The sequence below is a fragment of the Homo sapiens genome, chromosome 6 (genome assembly GCF_000001405.40).
Source record: "Homo sapiens chromosome 6, GRCh38.p14 Primary Assembly".
NCBI classification, from domain to species: domain Eukaryota; kingdom Metazoa; phylum Chordata; class Mammalia; order Primates; family Hominidae; genus Homo; species Homo sapiens.
Window position 1 is genome coordinate 15590740 of NC_000006.12, and position 23469 is coordinate 15614208.

Genomic DNA, 23469 nt, shown 5'->3' on the forward strand with positions numbered 1-23469 from the left:
TTGTAGAGATTGGCCATATGCACCAGAAGGTGAACGTAACTCATCAACCTCAATGGAGTATTAGAAGGGAGAATCCAGAACATGGTGGATGATATTAATCTACATTACTAACTTTGAGGGTTACTAATTTGGTATTTTGGTTCTCAAAAGTTAGTTTTCCCCCAATTTAGAAAAGAGCTTCTAAATATAAGTTGAATAAAGCAATTGGAGGAAGTAACACCTTTTATTTTCCTGCAACCTGAAAAGGAAAAAGGCAATATTCAAAAAATAATAAATTGCCACAATATGTTCGAACAAACTTTTACAACTTTTTTTCTTCACTAATACTTTGGAAGAGCTATTAAATTTCTGTTTTTCTTGTTATAGGGTACTTTTTTTTTTTTTTTTGAGACAAGAGTCTCATTCTGTGGCACAGGCTGGAGTGCAGTGGCATAATCTTGGCTCACTGCAACCTCCACCTCCCAGGTTCAAGCGATTCTCCTGCCTTAGCCTCCTGAGTAGCTGGGGGTACCACCACGCCTGACTAGTTTTTGAATTTTTAGTAGAGATGGGGTTTCACCATGTTGGCCAGGCTGGTCTTGAACTCCTGACCTCAGGTGATCCCCCTCGGCCTCCCAAAGGAGGCCCTTCCAAAGTGCTGGGATTACAGGCGTGAGCTACCATGCCCAGGCCACGTTTTAAAAATATTAGCAAAACACTCAAGAAGAAACAATTTTGAATGAACACTGATAATAAAAATCTAGATATAATGCAACATTCAATTTAGGGTTTGTTCATATTTGAGATCTTTAATTGGACTGTGGGTGGATTTGATGTGCTGTTAATTGTACATAATTAGGAATGTGTGTATAAACAAGATATTTCAGCCTAAATTGAATTATTCTATCGGGTAATATACAACACTACCTAACCTTTTGCAAACTGCTATTCTCTTCTTTTTCTCTGAATATTGTCACACTAAAAAAAGTACGCCTCAGCACTGAGATGCAAGTAAAACTGACATTTTACATAATCTGTGTCCCTGCCCTGTCTTTTAATATTAACTTGATTGTTTTTTTCATCTCTTACTGTTATATAAGAAGATACTAAACTAGTCAACCAAAAGAAAAGAATGAGAAGGAAAAGGCATTTTATAAGGATTTCAAATCTTATTTTAAACCACTGATTGAAAAAAGAATGTATACAAGTAGTGGTTTACAAATTGAATTAAGAACAATGACAGCCATGACAACACATTGTATCACATGATCATTTAACATTACCTTCAACAAACTGGCCATGAACTTAATCATTTACTAGAGCCGTAGTAGGTCAAACAGAAATCCAGCCAAACAAAGCTGTTCAATAATAGCTATAGGAGGAATATGCCTTTATACCTTTTATCTTGAGAATTTGTCATTTTTTCTAAATCCAAACAGATCACACATATAAACAATTCAACCATAAATGATATACTTGGAAATCTTTAACCATTCGGTAAATCTAAAGGACAATGCTGGTTTATACGTGAAGTATAATAAGCATAAAACAACAAAATCAGAAGTGATTTAATAAGTAATTCAAAAAGTTTTCTCAGTTATTGAAATGAATCTCTCGAGAATAGGATTTCTACTACTTAATTGCTCATGAGTAATTAATTGAAAAATGGGAAACTGGAAGAACCTTGAGCTGCTGGAAAGTTTGTGTTTTTTTCTGTTTTTCACTAGTGTTTCTCCATGACCAGTAAGGGTCAACATAACCAAGAATTATTCTCTAGCGTCCCTCCTTCAGGCATTCCCTAAAAGTAAAAAGTAATGCTGGGTGCTTTTGGAATCTCAGAATATATTTCATCTGAGCCTCTAATTTTACAGATGGAGAGAGAAACTGTGCCTGAAAAGGTAAGAGACTCATCCAAAGTCACAAGACAGCAGCAGAGCAGGGCCCAGCACTGAAGACCTCTCAGGAGGTTCGAGTGACTGCAAGGTCAATTACAGGGGCACCTCTTGATCTTTGTCACCATTCCCTTTCCACATGGCCCAGACTGTACAAGAGAAACCAGAATCTTCTTAAACTATGATTCTCAACAACCTCAAAGTTAGCACTGCACCTTCCTAACACACCACTTATAAAGGTCATTAGCAGGAACTCTCACTTGGTACATGTGCTAAAGAGAATATCAAAACCACCTGTGATTAAGCAAAACCTACAAAAAACAGTATTAAGTTTTACTGTTTTATGTAAACTGATTTTAAAAAATGAGTTTGTTCATCATTGTCGAGAGAACATCTGATACCAATGAACTCTCAACTACTTTAAAGTGAAGAATTAACACAAAATTACCTTTGAAGGTTTCAAGTTCCTTCCTGTAGGAAAAAAAAAAAAAAGACAAGACAATGCAAATTAAAAATCTCCCCAATGAAAACTGTTCTTCCATCATAATAAAAACTTATGTACTTTAAATGCCCACAGTGGTATTTCTGGATCTTCACATATCAGTTATACTTTACTGAAATGACCAGTACAATGAGCCTAAACCAACTATTTTCAGTTATTTCTGCTATTTTCTATTAATGGCTCAAAAAAGTTCCACCAGAATCCAAATAATAATCTAAACAATTTCATCTAAACAATAAAACAATTATAAGAACACAGACAGCATTTTAATCCCAGCTATGAACCATCTCATACATGTAAGAATCAGTTTATAAAAAGCACTTAACACAATTTTTCCTTGATGGATAAATATTCAATACTGGATTTTTGAGATCGTTAGTTAAGAATTATCCAAAATAGAAGCAGTTGTTTTCCCTTTCAACAGCAAAAGAGAAAAGGGGGAAAGTGCATATCAAAGGATTGAGGTGCACAGCTCATGCCACAAAGGGCCAAGCCTCTAGGAATCTTCTGGTTTATTATTTTGTCAATATTAAGTAAGGATGCCAAAACACAAAGTTTCCTGGGAAGTGTACAGTGGGGAAACATAGATTAAAATAAACATTTTGTGACAAAGAAAGCAAAGCAAGTTGTTTTGAGGCTTTCCCTCACAATTTTGCAGTTACGTATTTTTTTTCCTCATTATCAGTACTAATGAGTAATTTTGAGGAAATAAAGGCTGGTTATCCCAGTTAAAATATGAGACATTTATTTTGTACTTGCAGTCCAGGTTTTACTAAAAATCTAGAGATGTTTTGAATTCTTAAATCAATTTTCTACACACCTAATTACAATACCCCTCATGTTCCAAAATAGCTGACTACACTCAACAGCTGCTAGAAGAGACTGGCAAGCTGCCTACTGAAAGGCCAAGTAGATAATGTTCTTGCAACAGCCAAAGTGAAGGTTCTTAAATCAGATGGTCATCCCACTCCGTTTTTTCCTAACAATATCTACTTATAATAATTATCCAGCACCATGGTTCATAAACTATGCAAGAATTTTCAATCCTATTTTTTCAAAAACCTGTGTGGCTGGGCGTGGTGGCTCATGCCTGTAATCCCAGCACTTTGGGAGGCTGAGGCAGGTGGATCACCTGAGGTCAGGAGTTCGAGATCAGCCTGGCCAACATGGTGAAACCCCGTCTCTACTAAAAATACAAAAAAATTAGCCGGGTGTGGTGGTGGGCACCTGCAATCCCAGCTACTAGGGAGGCTGAGGCAGGAGAATCACTTCAACCCAGGAAGCACAGTTAGCAACAAGCCAAGATCGTACCACTGCACTCCAGCCTGGGTGACAGAGCGAGACTCTGTCTCAAAAAAAAAAAAAACGAAACAAAACAAAAAAACAAAAACAAAACCTGTGTAATTGTTTCCCTTCAGTCAATAATCAACTTCATTCTTAAAAGCTTAGCTAGGTACAAGCTAAATATGCCTAAAACCTGCTTTATACCCCGATAATAAAAACCAGAATACAACAGGAAGGCAATATGTATCACAAGAGAATCTCAAAAAGATATCTTCAATCTACTTCTTAGTGACATCCTCACATTAGCAATTCCCCGACGTGGGGAAAGTTGACAGAACACTCAGTTCAATATTCTAATGAGTAATTCTTTTTTTTTTTCTATGATTACAATGTTTAGAGAGCTTCTAATTTTCTTCTTTTAGAATGTGTGACTGTGAGCAGAATTTCTAAAGGGCTCTCTTGTTTTAAAAAGCTGAAACTCAGAATAATGATTTCACAGACACTGTTATTCTCCTACCCCCAAATACTAACAACCATAAAAACAAGGAATCCAGCAACTACTATTAAATACATTAATGAGTGAGTGTGCAATTGAGGAGGGCGGTTTTCCTGTGGACTCATCCTGCTCACCCTGCAACCGTCTGTCTGCTGCTGTGAAGAGGACAAGCCCAGCATCTTCTGGGCATCCTCTGTCACACAGCGTCATGACCCACAACTCCACAACTGTCAGCGAAATTTCCAGGAAACTTCCCTTCAGAAAATCATTCCTGTACCCAATTCCTAAAACAGATGACTGCTTGAAGTAGTGGTGGTACAAATAATTGGTTTAAAGAAAAAAATCAGTATTATGCAACTTTTTTTTTTTTTTTTTTTTTTTTTTTTTTTTGAGACAGAGTCTTGCTCTGTCACCCAGGCTGGAGTGCAGCGGTGTGATCTTGGCTCACTGCAACCTCTGCCTCCCGGGTTCAAGCAATTCTCCTGCCTCAGCCTCCCGAGTAGCTGGGATTACAGCCACCCACCACCACATGCCTGGCTAATTTTTGTATTTTTAGTAGAGATGGGGTTTCACCATGTTGGCCAGACTGGCCTCAAACTCCTGACCTCAGTTGATCCACCTGCCTCGGCCTCCCAAAGTCCTGGGATTACAGGCATGAGTCATCGTGCCCAACCAGTATTATGGAACTTTTAAGGAACTGATGAGGTAAAGCAGCAGCACTGAAAGCCTTGAAATTTCACAATTGTTAGGGTGTACTCCACCATCTGTTAGAGGTACTCAGCATTTGGAAATATAGAAAATGTAAGAGAAGGCAGGGAAAGGCATGTCAGTCACAGGCAGCAGTGACTGTGAGGTCACAGAGGCCAAAGACGACGCAGGTTATATTTAGGAAACAGACTTCAGAACAGCAATACTTCAGCAAGTACTTGTCCTGGAGCAAATACTTCAGAACAGCAGGCTGAATGAAGAGAAAGTAATTCAGATAAAAAGGTAGAGAGTTCTCAGTGCCAGGCTAAAATATTTTGTTTTATTTTTAGCAGGAGAATAACATGAGCAAAGCTGTATTTTAGGAAGAACGTTCTAGCTGTGATGGATGGATATACTGGCAAGGGAGAGAATAAAAGCAGTGAGTACACAGGAAACTCACGTTGGGGGCACGTGGGGAAGAGCTAATTAATACTTGGCAAGAGCAATGTTAAGTGGTAATGACAATGAAATGAAGGATTCCAATTTGAAAAGTATCATAAAGAAGACTCAACAGCCCAAGGCATCTGACTCAATGGGGTAAGGAGAGGAAGGAGACAAGCATGCTAACCGGGGCAGTTCTAGTCTGGATCATAAGAAGGAAAAGATTTTGGAGGGCAATGCATGAGTTCGGTTTGGAAATTGCTGAAACAGGAAGACTGAAAGCTGCAGACAGGATTCCCATCCCCTTCAGCCTACTCGAGGATTTAACTCCTACAGATTCCTACTCCCTCGCTTCGCATTCACTCTTGAACCCATTCCAATTTGGCTTCTGGACCCCCCATTACACAATCAACACCACCAACAATCATCATGTTGCCAAATCCAGAGACCACTTCTCTGTTTTCATCCTAATCCTTAAGCAGCATTTGACCCAACTGGTGGTTTCTTGAAACAGTTCCCTCTAGTGTTCTCCCACCTCCTCAGTTTCTTTTGCTATTGTCTCCATCCCTTCCAGACCACCAGATGCTGGAGTGCTGCAGGCTTGGTTCTGGGCCCTCTTCTCTCCTCAGCTTACATTCGCTCATAAGCCAATTTCATCCCTAGCTTTAAATGCCATCCATATGCTACTAACTTCCTGATTACATTTCCTGTCTTGATCTCTTCTTTGAGCTCCAGACTCATATGCAACTGCCCATTTGATAGCTTTATGCAAAAGTGGAGTAGGCTACTCAAACATTTGCAAGACAGCCTGTTCTTCTCCAGTCGACGTCATCTCAGTTAATGGCATTACCCGGCTCCTCAAGTTTTGGCTCATCCATCTCCCTCATTCTCCATCCAATTCATCAATAAATCCTGTCAATTCCATCTCAAAAGATAGCCTGAATTGATCCACTTCTCTCCATCGTCACTGCCATCAACCTTATATAAATATCCATTTTCGTATACTAAATATAATCTTGGTTGAGTTCAATCATTCATTCAACAAAAATTTACTAAGCCTTAGACACTATGATAATGTTAGGAATAGCATTAGGAATAATGCTAGGTTTGGAATAGACATGTTCCATAACCTCAAGGAACTTTAGTGGGAGAGACAGAGAAATAAAGCAATAATTAGAAATCAATGTCATAGATTATAGTGCTTTGGTAATGACATGCTGAGGATTCTCTAGGAATAAAGAAGAGAGGACAACTCATACACTTAGGTTTGGTAGGAAAGGCCTCCTGGAGAAGCAAGGACTGAGCTGATGCATTTTCAAGGACAGTATAACTGATGATGATGGGCAACATTTATCGAGAACATGGCAGATATTTTACTCTTAAGCATTAAGACATACTCTCAGCTAACCAGATGAAAAAGCATGGGTAAGCAGGAGTTTTAAGTTCCAGTCACTCTCCTTCAAACTGTGTTATTAGCATAAAAATGCTAATAATAATAATTAGTGTAAAACAGCCTTCAAGTTCATCTTTTCCAAGAAGACTTCATTGACATCCAATCAGTGATCTCTCCTTTATCAAAAATTCTGTAGCACTAAACTCTATCAATATTATACATTTCATGTGCTGCCTTGTAATGTGGTTCTGTTCATACAGGTATCGTCTCTACAGTTCCTGAAGTGCAGAGACTGCATCTCTTCCATCCTGCATCACATGCGTGCCCAGAGTTGGACCCAACAGACACTCAGCAAATCATGATTACCAAGTACTGAGGCTGCAGGATGACTAAGATCTGCTTCTTCAAAGAGGCCATTGCTGTAATAAAATATAGATTTTATTTTTGATAAAGTTTGATCAAATATTATCTCATTTGAAACAACTTGTTTGTTGCTTGCATTTTCTAAAAATTGAGTTTATTTCCATAGTTTAATAGTATTTTCAGAAGATCAAACAAAAAATTGAAATGTCTCATTTTAAATGTTAACATATTTCAAAATTTACTCAATTCAGCTAATGCCTTTACAAAATTTAGCATAACCCTAAAACTAAAACATTCAAAAAATAACAGCAGGATCAAAAGCTAATAATATTCCAAAGGGTGAAACTGCTATTATTTAATCATTTTCTCTCCAGGGATTGAGTTATAAAGAATAAAAATGAAAGAAAGAATCACATTAATAAGCCTATGGAATGTTACAAGAAGTATATTAAATCTATATATATGAGTAGAAATCAACTAGCTCAGACTGAAGATGAAAACTTAATAGACAGAAGCTACTGGATAAATGCCTCCATAAACACAGATAAAGCAAACTCTCTCTAAATCCTAAACTGCCTCCCTAGGACAAATCCATGATAAAAGGCTAACACAAAATACCACATTCAAAACACCAACTGCAAATTGCACCCTAACATTTTTCTTCATGTGTAGAAATGTTTAGGGGAAATTTTTTTTAAGCATGATCAGCAATACTCTTTTATAGAACATTCCTGAACAGTGTCCCTTTGTTATGGCTGATGGACAGAACCTATTACTGTGACTACTTGTTCCTGGGAAAGATCTCACAGGCCCACTCTCAAGAAAGAAGCATCTACCATTCATCACCAACAAGTCAGAGGTCTGTTGTTTTCCGGCAGTCCACAGTCCTGTGGTGCCACCCTACAGGCTTGGTGGGGTTGAGGGGGATTGGGGGTGGGTGGTGGGAGGGACCTCCTTCCAGCTTGAGATGAATTTTCTCAGGACTCTCTATACCTTAAAAGTCTCTGTTGTCATTTATTCTTATACAAAACCAGCAAGACATTCTCAACATTATCTTTAAAATAAAACCTCTTAAAAAGCAGCCAGTTCACTGTAAAAATGGCATTATATCCTTATTTATTATGCTATTAATATAAATTGTATATATCTATTTTGGGCAAATACAGCCAAGAAAGTAACAAGATGATAAGATTCCAAAATCTTGGAATTTAAAGTTGAAAAGGATCTGAAGGATATGGTAACAAAGCCTGGAATTTAAGAAAAATGGATTCCAAAAAAGATAATGAAGGTCTACGCAGGTTGGCAGCACTAAGTTATACATGGATTACATTCCATCCCACCTTGCAAGAATCATTTCCCTAAACCTATTTTACATGAAAATCTATTTGATTTAGAAGCCATGCCTGGATAAAGAGAGGTTGAAGCAAGTAGGATAAGGAAAGATGAGACAGGGGTAAGGGATATTTATTGAGTTCCTACTGTATACTCCACAATATGCAAGGCACTTTACACATACTGTCTCCTATAACTTGTAATTACCTAACTGTAGGTATCATCACCCTCACTTAATACATGAGGAAAATGGGGCTTGAGGATGGAAGGCCACACAGATAGTAAGTGACAGAACTGGGAATAAAACCCACAGCTGACTCTGCATGTGTATCATCTTCAGCATCCAGAATACAGTTCAAGGGTCAAGTTTAGCCCTAACAGAAAGTTACTTAAGTAGATCACTAAATCTACAGAATTCCAGAGTCAGATATGTGAAACTCAGAGCCACCCCAAAACATCCAGGCAACATCTGGGTCTACCTAGCTTGGGGAAAGTACATTATTTTTAGGAAACTAATAAAAACTAACGTTGAAAGCCAGGATCGTTGATGTATGCATGAGGTAAAATCCCCAACATAGCCCTGAAGACATGTCGTGGTTTTCAAAAATAAGCCTGCAAAAAACACTTTTATTTTCACTGGTGTACTAGTGTTTAATGACTAGTCCACAGCAACTAATTGGCTAAAAATCTTTATTACAAATTTAAATTTAAATTTTTATTACAAATTTAAAAAATTTATATCACCTTTGTGTTACTGATTTTTTTATTCAAAATTCTTAGTGGCTAGCCAATTCCTTAAAGAGCCATCCTACCATTAATTATCACCAAATCAATGGTTTGTCATTTATTAGCTGTCTGCAGTCATGCCCCACCACTTGAAACTGTATATCCTTACAGGCTTGTTGCCATTTATAGCTGATAGGGTAGAAGGTGGATTTTTTTTTTTTAAACTCATGCATCCCACATACAAATATATTCCTGATCAAGCGGCACCAGGCCCTAAAATCTCAATCCATCCTTACATTGAGTCACCCACAGCAGTCCATACACGCAGAGAAGCAAGGTCCTTTCCATACTCCATGGCACCCAAGCACAGAGTACAGATGGCTTTGTGTGGAGGCAGTTTACTATCAAAGATATGAGGAGACTTTGAAGTCAGGAAAACATTGGTTCTGGCCCAGCACCGCTACTTCCAACTCCTGACAAGTTGTTTTATCTCCCCTAGTCTCTCTTTTCTTATTGGTAGAGAAGAGAGTACACCTACTCAAATGGTCATTGTGAGACTTCCATGAGTTAATTTGGAGTTTTTAAGCAGTGTCTGGTACATATTAAGTGTTCAATAAAGGCTACTGCTATAGTCACCATCATCATTTAATTTTTTTTATCTTGACGATCAGAAATCTTAATATCTACATTTGGGAAAAAATGAGCACTCTAACAGTAATATAAATGAAGGGACACAAGACTACAGACAGCAAGACTAATTAAGAGGCTATTAGTGTAACTCAGGCTACAAAGACGTGGGCTAGAACTCCGGAAAGGATCAGTGAAGACAGAAAGGCAAGGACAGAGTCAGGAAATATTGGGCTGGACTGAGAACTGAGCAGGTGGTAGGAGAGGAAGGAGGAGATTATGAAGACTCCCATATTTGTGGCCTGGATAAATCTGTAGTGATGGTATCTTATTAGAACAGAAAAAGGTCAGGTTTTGCTGTGGAAGACAATTTTGGGCATGGTGCTGTTGAGAAGTCCAGGAATAGCTGTGTAGGTGGCAACTGGTTCTGCAGGTAAGAAGAGAGACCTGCACTGAATACAGTGGTTTGATAATGATCACCTTATGGCTGGCAGATGAGCCAAGGATGTAGAAGAGCATGCCCAAGGAGGGTCTGCAGAATGAGAGGAGGCAACAACCAAGACCAGAGCACAAGTGAACACCAGCATTAAAACATTTACAAAGAAAACTAAAATGAACCTGAGGCAGAGAAGAACATCTGGGATACTGGTGTTGAAGTCAAGAGAGGACAGTATCAAGTCAGGTAAATAAAGATTGATTTGTCAAGGACCTTAGTTACTTAAAAAGCTAAGAAAAACATAGGTTAAACACTTCAAATGAATCATGGATTTGTTCTCTAACAATGTTTTCATATTATACAATGTTGATGCAATCTTTCTTTTTCGACAATATTTTAACTGTGGTATGCCATGTACCTTGCCCATTCATTTTAATTAAGAAATATTCTTAAAAGTTCATTATGAGGTAAAATCGTGTTTTAACTTTCCCCAAACTAGTCCAATGTTAAGAATTTTAAAGGATACTTTTTAGCTTTTAAAAACCCATGTACAGCAAAAATATTGGGATCAACTAATAAATTCTCAAATCTACCTGAATTAATCCTTAAGAACTGTAACTTCTATTTTCTCTGCCTCAAAAGTAACGTGTTATTTTATATGACAATAATGCACTTCTCTGATATCAGTTATAATAAGAATTGGTCCTAGGCCGAGGCAGATGGATCACCTGAGGTCGGGGGTTCAAGACCAGCCTGACCAAGATGGAGAAACCCCGTCTCTACTAAAAAAAAAAAAAAATTAGCCAGGTGTGGTGGCGCATGCCTGTAATTCCAGCTTCTCAGGAGGCTGAGGCAGGAGAATCACTTGGACCTGGAGGCAGAGGTTGTGGTGAGCTGAGATCACGCCATTGCACTCCAGCCTGGACAACAAGAGCAAAATTCCATCTCAAAATAAAAAAAGAAAAAGAAAAAAAAAAAAAGGGTCCTAAACAGAACATAACATGAAACTTCCAGAGAGGAAGGAAAATGTTGCTATCTTTGGGGGAAAATGTCCCTCTTTGAAATCCAGTATCAAACCTCTCCAGTAGCATTAGCCGGGCACAATAATTCAAACCTGTAATCCCAGCTACTTGGGAGGCTGAGGCAGGAGGACCTCTTGAGCAATATACCAAAACCCTGTCTGAAAACAAAACAAAACAAAACAAAAAACTATCTCCAGTAGCAATTGTTTCAATTCCTTTGAAACAATTATAGTGCCATTTTTTTTTCTGAGCCAGAATGAAAGACTAGTAATAGTAAAAGGCAGGCAAGAAAAAGAGACCTGCTTCTTAGCCATAGAAAAAACGGGGCCAACACAGCCATGCTAGAGCACTGCCCAGAGAGGGTAGAGAAGGGCTGCAGCAGAGAGGAGGAGCACTGTTTTCTTGTTGCTGACTTCACCATGGTTCTTGCTTACCACCGATGTCAGAGCAGGTATGGCAGGCTGCCAGGTGTGCCTCTGCCTGTCCCAGCTCTCATATCCGTCAAGAAAACCAGAAAAGTGAGAAAAGCATAGGGTAATATCATGGTTTTAGCTACATTCAACTGAAGACTAAAATAACTGATAAATTTTATACTTTTGAAAGTATCTTTGAAAAACACAGTAACTGATGGAACATAAACTCCAACACAACTATGGGTCATAAAAAACATAAAATATTATTCCAAATGTAATAAATGAATTCTAAAACACTGAAAGTTATTACAGACTCTAAATTATAATGTACAAACTATAATCAATCTAACTTTGGAAAAAAGGATTACCTACTTTTCAACCCAGGATAATAATAATTTTGCTTTGCTTAATTTCAAAAAACTTTTCTCGAGATTGCTATATCTTTAGTCTCTGCTCCTCTCCACCTCAAAGATACACTTTAGGTTTTCATGCCTCTTAAAAACAAAAAGCTTGAACCCCAGCGTGTCATTTGCATAACTGGAGGAAAGAGATAACGAAAAGAATTTTGTAAACCAGTTAGAGAGACATTTATTATTTAAAAATGGCAAACAGATACTCATTGTTCAAAATAAAGCTTTATGAACTTAAATATCAGTCCTAAACTCTATTTACTGTCAACCCAAGGATCTAATAAACTGTTAAATATTCTAGCTACATCTGTTCTCGTGACTACACATAAAGTCTGAAACTGCCAAGATTTATTCTCTAACAGACACTTTAGAGCAAAAATTTTGTTAAGTTCAATTCCTTGCCAACTCATAAGCTTAGGTTTAATTTTAAAAGAAAATGTAAGGTGTGATTACACATTTATGAAGCCAACAAATTCATAGCTCTCAGTCTGTTTTCAAGAGGTCATTGGCCTAGTAAATGTGATTACATTATAATAAATACAATAAAATAAAAATGTCAATTTACTTTCAATTAACCACCTGGGAACCATCTAAAATCTAGCATCTAATAGGGAGAGGGGGGAGTAAAAGGAGAAAATGGAGAAAAGAGATACAAGTTTCAGCCTTTTTTATATTTTCCATGTCTCTACTTCACTTTTTGAACAGAATACAGTTACAATAACAATTTTTACTGTCCTTGTCTTCTAATTCTAATATCTGTGTCAGTTTTTAATGGCTTTGATTGACTATCTTCCTCCATATGTTTTCCTAGTAATCTTTGATTAGATACCAGACATTGTGATTTATCTTGTTTGGTGCTAGGTATTTTTATATTCCTATAAATACTCTTGAGCTTTGTTTGTTATACAGTTAATTTACTTGGAAACAGCTTGATTCTTCTGATGCTTGCTTTATGATTTGCTAAGCACGTCTTCAGCAGTATTCAGACAAAAGCCAATTACACATCCTACTGAGGCAAGAATTCACCGAGTCCACTTCCCAATACCTCAGTAATTATGAGTTTTCCCAGTCCGACTATTGGGAAGAGGCTCTGTGTGAGTGCCAGGCACTGTTAGCTCACCCTCTTGGATATTTTTTTCCCTCCTGCCTTGGATAGTTTCCTCACCTGTATTATCAGGTGAATATTCATGGAGACCCTCTCAGAAACTCTCTCCTCTCTGGGACTATGTCCTGTAAACTCCAGCTGCCTTGATCTCCCCAGATTTAGCTCTTCAACTCTGAGTCTGCCAGGCTCTGCCTGGGTCCACTTCCCTGCAGTGCACCCTGGAAACTCTCTCTAGGCAGGATGCAGAGGCAATCACAGGGCTCACCTCACTTGTTTCCTATCTATCGGGTACCATCACATCTCTTCTTTGTCCAAAATCCAGTGTCTTAAAAACATTCTCTCATTTATTTCACCTGGTTTTTCATTGTTTCGGGGGAGAGAATAAATCTGGTCCCTGTTACTCCATCCTGGTGGATGCAGAAGTCTGCTCCCTTTTTGTAAAGTCATTGCCTGCGGAAAAGTTCTCCTGCTCCCCTTTTCATTCAGCATCCAAACAGACTTCTGCTGCAGAACTGCAGAAGCTAGTTACTGCCCTGCTGCTTGGCTCCTTCAGAGAAGGTGCTCTCGATCTTCTCTTTTGGTTCCAGAAGAACCAAAAGAGATCGTTTTTGGATCTTTACCCTGGAGAATGCTGTTGGTTTCTTCTCTCCCATTCTCAGCTCCGCAAAGCCAGGCCTGAGGGCCACACTCCTGCCACACCTCCCCTTCTCCCCAGCTTGCCAGTCTCTTGGCAGGTGAGCTTGAACACTCATTTCTTGAAGCTCAGGAATTTGGCAAGTTAGTCTCTAGAACATACACTGGTCAAACGCCACTACAGATACGCCATAATCTCTTAAATATATCTGTTATACTTTGTTCTAAAGATTTTCTAAATATAGTCCATAGTCCAAATGTTACCAAAAAACAAAACAAAAAAACACAAACAAAAAGAAGGGCAGAGTCCCTTGGCATTAACTATAGTAGATATATAAACATAAAGCAAAAAGAATCAGGACCCTTAAAATATGCATAAGCACTAAATCTCATCAGAGGCAGCAGCGACCACCACTTCTAGGAGGTGGGTTCCAGGAGACAAGCAAATTTCAAAGTCTGGATAAATCAGTGAAAAATGTTTCTGGAGTCAGTATGCCCCTAAGCAGGTTTCGAGTCCAACAGAAGACTATGTTAAAATTATGAGTCACTTATAATTAACAAGAATTGCTAAAATCACTGTTCTTCAAGATGTTACTATTTTTGGAGAAATTCTGATGGTATGCTGTGTACTGAAGGGGAAAGCATAAGTACTGAAGGAGATGCATAAGGGATCTAGAAACTTGGAAATAAGAAATATTTTAATCAAATTACACACTTATGGATGATTTCAAGTATAACTAATTATTGTGAGAGAACTTCAATAAGCACTCTAAGGATTATGGTGGCACTGGAAAGATTAAAAATCTAGAAGGTTGAGATTCTATACTTCCATTTAGCTCTATCTCTAAACGTACCTACTGTTCATGACTCGGGGTCTTTGTTCCCACTGTTCCTTCTGTTTGGAGCTATACAGTCCTAGATCCTCATATGACTGCCATCTTACTCAAACCTCTTCTCACATATCTTCTCAGAAGAGCCTGTCCTGCTCACCCTAGCTGAAGCAGTCCTCCCCTGCCTTACCACTATACCATTACTCCATTTTATTTCCTTTGAGGTTTATATTATTGTCTGAAATTATTCTTTTTTTCTTTATAAATTTATCATCTGTCTTCCTCCACACCCCTAAGAATATAAGCTGACCCTCAAATCTCAAGCCCACTTTTCTAATTGCTAGCTAGAAAAATCCATGTAAATGGTTTTAAGTTCTTTATTTTGGCTCCTATACTAAATATTAGCTCTTCTTTCTTTACGAAAAATGTATTTCCTATTGGTTACAAAAGCTTCTGCCAGGGGTCCATGAATTAGACTCGTATGGCTGTAGCACTCATCTTCTGAACTATCTGACAACTTAGCTACTGGTTTGAGTACCTGTCTTTGCCTATAGCCATATTCTAGCCACTACACAATGTTTTGTTGTTTATCAAGGCAATGTCCGTTCCAGTCTACAAAGGCACTGGTAACAGTAATATCATTTTACATGCAGAAAAATATTTAGAAAAGCAATTTATGGGTATTTTCCCCGTACAACCACACAAGTGTCTTAGATGGCACTTTTCTCAGATAACTAGCTAAAGAGAGATGTCCTACTTTACTGCACAAATGAAGTGGATTAAACCGTCTATTCAAATGTTTCTCAAGGGTAGGTAAGAGCTATCAGAACCATCCCTAGGCTGTATATTTCCCTACCCACTGGGAGAATCCCCTGACTAGGAAGCCACTGTCACGTTTATTTTATTTTGTGTTTATTTATTTTATAATGGGTCACAGTCCTGTTTTTGTAGGGGCAGGAATGTATTCTCTCTGCTGGGAACGTCCGTCAAATGAATGACAAAATATCATATATCCATTTGAAACTACAGATGCACTGGTATAAACATCTGGGACTCAATCAGTTTGTTCCAACTTAACATCAAAAAAGAAGACACATTTGGGTTGGTGTGGTGGTGTGGTGGGAGCCTTGGACTGAAGACTCTGGTTCTGATGCTGGCCCCTAAATAGTCTGATGACTTAATGCAACTCAATCTCCTTCTCAACTCCAAAAATTGCTGCCCTGCCCACACTACAGGCTCTGGTGGGAGCTGAATGAGAAAAGCCATAGGAGCCTATTGCAGAGCCTATTAGCACTGGAGGAGTGTGAAAAATTATCTTTCATTCTCCCACTCTCCCCACCTTCATCCAGTGTTCTGGCCCGGATTTTTGGGAAAGCTACAGGGTGTGCAAACATTGTTAAAAAAATGCATGCACATAAGCATATCACATATCCAACTTTTTCTATCACATATTATCGTTTTCTTCAGAGTAAGAAAAGTCATTAGTGTAGTTTGCATAGCATCTTGTTAAAAAGGAAGAAGGTTTATTTTTAAGCGACTCATCTCTTATGAACCAGAAAATTAAAAGTTTTTCACTGGCAGTATTTGAAAATTTCTCAAATGGTGTTATGTAGAATACTAAGTCACAGAATGTTAATATGTGTTACATGCAAATTGATTCTGTGAGCAAGTAAGTTGTGAAATGCTGAGTCAAAAAAAAATTTTTTTTTTTTTTTTTTGAGACAGAGTCTCACTCTGTAACCCAGGCTGGAGTGCAGTGGTGTGAGCTCAGCTCACTGCAACCTCCCGGTCCTGGGTTCAAGCAATTCTCCTGCCTTAGCCTCTTGAGTGTCTGGGATTACAGGCACCCACTACCACATCCAGCTAATTTTTGTATTTTTAGTGGAGACAGGGTTTCACCATGTTGGCCCGGCTGGTCTCGAACTCCTGACTTCAAGTGATCTGCCGCTTTCGGCTGGGATTACAGGCATGAGCCACTGTGCCCGGCCAAAATATTTCTTTGTTTTTTTGAGACAGAGTCTCACTCTGTTGCCCAGACTGGAGTGCAGTGGCACGATCTTGGCTCACTGCAACCTCCACCTCCGGAGTTCAAGGGATTCTCCTGCCTCAGCCTCCCAAGTAGCTGGGATTATAGGCATGCAACACCATGCCCAGCTAATTTTTATATTTTTAGTAGAGATGGGGTTTCACCATGTTGGCCAGGCTGGTCTCAAACTCCTGACCTCACATGATCTGCCCGCCTCAGCCTCCCAAAGTCCTGGGATTATAGGTGTGAGCCACCGTGCCCAGCAAAACATTTCTTTACCACAGGAATTCTCAGAACCTTTAGCACGCTGATGCACACTGCAAAGCTCCGTGGGCAAATGCAAAGTGTTTCTGGAGCTTATCTGATCACATACTGTTTTATCAATGGCAACCTTTTCAGTCTAGTATTCCATGCAGAAGAATTCAGGGAATGTTATATGGAATTAATTAAAAAATGTTTAATTCAATTTTTGCATGTTGATAGTACATACCCATTCCTGAAGTCAAAGAGCACCCAGGAGATGTATTTATAGTGAAGACAAGTAGTCCCTGCCCCAGCTCTCTCCACCTTTCTGCCCTGTTTTTCACAAGCAGCCATGTTCAATTCTTTCAGTTATTTTTCCTGGCATTTACCTCTGTTATTTCTAAATAATATGCAAATATTAATATTTATTCTTTTTTCAATTTTAAATATTACTTCTTGATTTCCTGCTGGAGAAGATGAGGATTAGCTATTTTACACCTCTAATTCCCCTCAACACAAATATGCTTTTTCTCCCCCATCTCCCCAGCAAGTTTTATCACAATTCTGCTTTTAATTATTCCAATATCACATAAATACTGTTTGTGACTGAGCCATGTAGCATATTATTTCTCTTTTTTAAAAACTGTTTCCCCTCAGTGTTAATATCTACCTTGTTGTTGTTTGCTTGGTTTAAAAAAAAACACACACATTTATCTCTAATTCCTCATTAAACCCTCCACCAGAGTTTAATAATTCAAGTTATAAATAAATAAATAAATAAATAAAGGAGTCATAAAGCTCCTCTCAATATTGCCACGCCGATAAGACAATGCATTAGCTTCATTTTTTCCCCCTTGGAAACACTACTTAGAATTCTCCAGAAGGCCTTCCTGTCCCAATATGAATTGCTCTCTAGGATTGCTGAAGCTTCTCACCACCTCCCTAGAAATTCCCTTGGTGTCTCTTCTGAACAGAATGAATCCTCCTGGAGTGACTCATCTCTGCTCTGTGCAGGCTCTTCCTCCTCCTGGGTTACTCCCTTGTGTGTGGAGCACATCCTCCAGGAGCTTCCTGACAAAGTGTCCACATCCACCACACTGGAGCCCTTGGCTGCCTGGAAATGACTTTATTTCCTCATGCTTGATGAAAATTTTGCCCAGTAAATATTCTTAGTAACCATTTTCTACTTTCGGCATTGTTGCTGAAAAGTTGATGTTCCTTTTGATTCCTGATCCTTAATATAAAAGCCTTTTTTGAAGGCTTTTATGATCTTTATTCCTAGTGTAGTGAAATTTACAAAAATATGTATTTGACAACAGATCTTTCTCCACTCATTTTGTCGGGCACTTCATGGGCTCTTTTAAACTCAAACATTCATATCCTTCAATTCTGGACAACTTCCTTATGTTATTTCCTCAATAAATTTGTCTCTCCTCCTTCTCACTCCTTTATTTCTGAAACTCCTAGTACTCAAACATGGGACTTATGAATTATCTTAACATTCTTAGTTTTTCCTCAGACTTTTTGTTCTCTTAGAGGTTTAACATTATCTTATGCTTCAGGTGAAATTTTCTACTTTTGCTACCTTCTTTTTTTTTTTTTAATACTTTTAAGTTATAGGGTGCATGTGCTTCTAAAAGCTCTCTCTTGTTCCTTTTCTACAGCATCTTTTCTTGTCTCATAAATACAAAATGGGCTCTTACAAGATGTTCCCATATATCTGAAGCTACTAATTACAATTTTTCTTTTTTTTTTTTCCTGAGACAGTCTTGCTCTGTCTCCCAGGCTGGAGTGCAGTGGTGCAATCTCGGCTCACTGCAACCTCCGCCTCCCGGGTTCAAGTAATTCTCCCACCTCAGCCTCCTGAGTAGCTGGGATTACAGGTGCACCCTGCCATGCCCAGCTATTTTTTTGTATTTTTAGTAGAGACAGGTTTTCACCATGTTAGCCAGGCTGGTCTCTATCTCCTGACCTCGTGTTCCACCCACCTTGGCCTCCCAAAGTGCTGGGAGTACAGGCGTGAGCCACCACGCCCAGCCTCGTTTTTAAGTTTTCTTCTGCTCCTCAGTCTCTCGTTCTTCTGCAGGTTTTAAACAATATTGTTTACTAGCTTATAGTCTACGTATTTCAGTTGTTTTCATTTTGGAAGCTTTCTTAATTGAATATGATTCCTCAGCTGTCTATTTGTATTTGAGTGAGGCAACAAAAGTTGACTCGAAGTTATGCAGAGTGTGGGCTCAGCATCAGAGGGTGGTAAGAGCAGACCTAGCTGTTTCACCACATACATACAACCTAAATATCCATATCTGCAGGCCTTTTCTTGTGGGCTGGTCAAGTGCAGTTTTGCAGATGAATGCTCCATTCTTCCGCACAGGGGATGTGAGTTTGGCTGCCGGAGTTCTGGGACCTACTGGGGAAAAGGGCCTAAACAGTCTTATTGTTTACTACGTAGGCTTTCACTTAGTTCCTCTGTTTTCAATACATTTGTATGTCTACCTGTCCTCAAGTGTGTTAGAGTCAAGTCTGGAGCCCCTCAGGTGAAATTCCACATTGCCTGATGAGCTAGGGATAGGGTGATCACCTGGCTAAGCGGAGGATCAAGGGATCTTACTTCACATACGTGCTTTCAACACACCTTATCTTTCAAGATCCTGGTGCCTTCAATTCCTGAGCCCTTCTAGAATTCTGTGGTACACACCAGCACATATTGTTGTCATTGTTTTGGGGTGCCACAAGCCCCATAAATGTTGTATGTGTTCTGACTGCTCCACTGACCAGCCATTCTCCAATTTCTCTTCCTCTCCTTGGACCCCTCTATTTCCTGAGACCCAATAATATTGAAATCAGGCCAATTATTAATAATAACCCTACAATGGCCTCTAATTATTCAAGTGAAAGAAAGAGTCTTATATCTCTCACTTGAAATCAAAAGCTAGAAATAATCAAGCTTAGTGAGGAAGGCATGTCGAAAGCCAAGACAGGCCAAAAGCTAGGCCTTTTGCACAAAATGGTTAGGTAGGTTGTGAATGCCAAGGAAAGCTCTGAAAGGAAATTAAAAATGCTACTCCAATGAACACATGAACGATAAGAAAACAAACCCACCGTATTGCTTATATGGAGAAAGTCTGAGTGGTCTGGACAGAAGATTAAACCAGCCACAACATTCCCTTCCTTAAGTTAAAACCTAATCCAGAGCAAGGTTCCAACTCTCTTCAGTTCTATGAAAGCTAAAACAGGTGAGAAAGCTGGAAAAGTTTGATGCTAGCAGAGGTTGGTTCATGGAATTTAAAGTAAGGAGTCATCTCCATAACAGCAAAGTGCAAGGTGAAGCAGCAAGTGCTGATGTAAAAGCTGCAGCAGCTTATCCAGAAGATCTAGCTACGATAACTGATGAAGGTGGCTATGCTAAACAGCAGATTGTCAACAGACAAAATAGACTTTTATTGGAAGAAGATGACACCTAGGACTTTCATAGCTAGAGAGAGGAAGTCCATGCCTGGCTTCAAACCTTCAAAGGACAGTCTGATTCTCTTGTTAGGGACTAATACAACTGGTGACTTTTAAGCTGAAGCCAATGCCTCATTTACTACTCTGAAAATCTTTGGAGGCATCCTGAAAATCCATAGAATTATGCTAAATTTACTCTGCCTGTGCTGTATAAATGTAACAACAAAGCCTGGGTGAAAGCATATCTGTTTGTGGCATAGTTTACTGAATACTTTAAGCCTACTGTTCAGACCTACTGCTCAGAAAAAAAAAACAAATTCCTTTCCAAATAATATTGCTCCTTGACAATGCACCTGGTCACCCAAGAGCTCTCATGGAGATGAACAAGGAGAACAACGTTGTTTCATTGTTGTGAACGCAACACTGATTCTGCAGCCTATGGAATAAGGAGTCATTTCAACTTTCAAGTCTTATTATTTAAGAAATACAATTTGTAAGGCTATAGCTGCCATAGATAATGATTCCTTCAACGGATCTAGGTCAACTGAAAACCTCTGGAAAGGGTTAACTATTCCAGATGCCATTAAGAATGTTCATAATTAATGTGAGGAGGTCAAAATATCAAACATTAGCAAGAATTTTGAAGAAGTGGATTCCAACCCTCATGGATGACTCTGACAGGTTCAAGATTTCTGTGAAGGAAATAGCTACAGATGTGGTAGAAATAGCAAGAGAACTAGAATTAGAAGTGAAGCCTGAAGATACGATTGAATTACTGCAATCTCGTGATCCAACTTAAACAGATGAGGAGTTACTTCCTATGGATGAGCAAAGGAAGTGGTTTCTTGAGAAGAAACCTACTTCTGGTGAAGATGCTGTGAACATTTTTGAAATGACAAGAAAGGACATAGAATGTTATGTACACTGAGTTGATAAAGCAGCAGCAATGTTTGAGAGGATTGATTCCAATTTTTTAAGTAATTCTACTATGGGTGAAATGCTGTCAAACAGCAACGCATGCTGCAGAGAAATCTTTCCAGGAAGAAAGAGTCAATCGATGTAGCAAACTTCATTGTTATCTTATTTTAATTAAGATAATGCCACAGCCATCTTAACCTTCAGCAACCACCACCTGATAAGTCAGCAGCCATTACCATAGAGGCAAGACTCTCCACCATCAAAAAGATTACAACTCACTGAAGGCTGATGATCATCAGCAATAAAGTATTTTTAATTAAGGTATGTACATTGTGCTTTAAGACATAATGCTAGTGCACATTTAATAGACTACATACTGTATAAACATAATTTTTATATGCACTAGGAAAGCAAAAAAAAAATCATGTAACTAGCTTTACTGCAGAATGCAGTGGACTGGAACAGAATCCACAATATCTTTGAGGTATTGCTATCATATGTTTCCAACAATCACATTTCAACATATCTTGATAGAAAAATCACAATATTCATATACTTTTTGTATTATGTAGCTAAAAAGCAATGGGCTATTTAAAAATATAGAATACCCATTTCTTTATAGCTGCACAAGTAATAATACGAGTTAGTCAGAGCTGGCAGCCACTGACAGAGCACTTAGCTGGTGCCAAGCACTATTCCAAGCACTTTACTGATTCCCTAAAACCCTATAATGTACTGTACTATTATTATCCCCATTTCACACACGAGAAAACCACCTTCTAGGGTCACATGACCTGTACCCAAGCTGTCCAACCTCCTGCAAAAATTTCCTCTCAAAATTCTAGGCCTTCTTACCATGTTCCTTGAAACTCTTGTTGCATTATAAACATATTTCCATGCCTAACTTCTTCACAACAGAATGTCTCTCTAACTTTTCATTTAACAATGAAGACTAGCCTGACCATTTCTACCTCTGCTATCTTCCTCTTAAGGGAAGTTCCTCTTTTCCCACACCCACATATCAGTCTGGAAATGCCCTGGGTCACAAGGCTCACCCACTCATTCAAAAGTCCCTTCTCTAGGCCAGGCGTGATGGCTCACGCCTGTAATCCCAGCACTTTGGGAGGCTGAGGCGAGTGGATCATCAGAGGTCAGGGGTTTGAGACCAGCCTGGCCAACACGGTGAAACTCCATCTCTACTAAAAATAAAAAAAATTTGCTGGGCGTGGTGGTGTGAGCCTGTAATCCCAGCTACTCGGGAGACAGAAGAAACGCTTTAACCCAGGAGGCGGAGGTTGCAGTGAGCCGAGATCATGCCATTGCACTCCAGCCTGAGCAACAACAGTGAAACTCCATCTCAAAAAAAAAAAAAAAAAAAAAAAAAAAAATGCCCCTTTTTTGACACGGACCCCATTTTTTTTTTTTTTTTTTTTTTTTTTTGAGACGGAGTCTTGCTCTGTTGCCCAGGATGGAGTGCAGTGGCGCGATCTCGGCTCACTGCAAGCTGCGCCTCCCGGGTTCATGCCATTCTCCTGCCTCAGCCTCCCGAGTAGCTGGGACTACAGGCGCCCGCCACCACACCCGGCTAATTTTTTGTATTTTTAGTAGAGACAGGGTTTCACCGTGTTAGCCAGCACAGTATCGATCTCCTGACCACATGATCTGCCCGCCTTGGCCTCCCAAAATGCTAGGATTACAGGCGTGAGCCACTGCACCTGGCCAAGGACTCCATTCTTAATGCTGCCAAATGCCCTCCTACAATCTTTGTGGGACAAATGAAATGTACAGAAAGCACCTCTGGAAAATTCGCACACATACAACCTTTTGTGAACAATTTGATCCATGGCCTCCCTGGAGCTCTTCTGAAGCTCTTCCATTTACAGCCTGCACACAACCCAATCTCCCATCCCTGCCTGGCAGTCTCTCAAACTATGGTCCACAGGCCACCCATATCAGAATTACCTAGAATGCCTGTTTCAAACCATTCTAAATTTAAACCATTCTAGAGGCTTGTGGAATAAGGAGTCATTTCAACTTTCTCCACTGGAATTAACTTTAGAATGGACTCCCCAAGGATGAAGCCCAGGAATCCCCATTTTAAATACTCTCCCCAGGTGACTCTTATGGCTCATTAACATTTAGTGCCCATCTCTAAGGACACATGACCCTGATTGAGAACTTGTGTTCTAAAATACTCATTTCTATTCATTTCTGCCTCATCCCTTGGCCTCATTCTAGAAGATTTTAACATCAATACAATAATC

General features: G+C 39.1%; 1 protein-coding gene across 8 annotated transcripts in view, besides 2 other annotated features; it reads right to left on the reverse strand.

Moving 5' to 3' along the window:
• The window catches only part of DTNBP1 (dystrobrevin binding protein 1), a 140252-nt gene that overhangs the window by 67933 nt on the left and 48850 nt on the right, over positions 1-23469 (reverse strand). For all 8 annotated transcript variants that reach the window (NR_036448.3, NM_001271669.2, NM_001271668.2 and 5 more), the window contains one exon: positions 2320-2342. Coding sequence is in view for 7 of the 8 variants with exons in the window: in NM_001271669.2 (NP_001258598.1) it covers positions 2320-2342 (23 nt within the window). In the remaining variant the exon portion in view is untranslated. The remainder of the gene's footprint in view (positions 1-2319; positions 2343-23469) is intronic.
• Positions 22120-22229: an enhancer, noted in NCBI's record as "active region_24083". NCBI's record gives its function as "activates an Ori minimal core promoter by ATAC-STARR-seq in GM12878 lymphoblastoid cells {active_cell/tissue: GM12878}" and the evidence as "EXISTENCE:reporter gene assay evidence [ECO:0000049][PMID:35858748]".
• Positions 22270-22339: an enhancer, noted in NCBI's record as "active region_24084". NCBI's record gives its function as "activates an Ori minimal core promoter by ATAC-STARR-seq in GM12878 lymphoblastoid cells {active_cell/tissue: GM12878}" and the evidence as "EXISTENCE:reporter gene assay evidence [ECO:0000049][PMID:35858748]".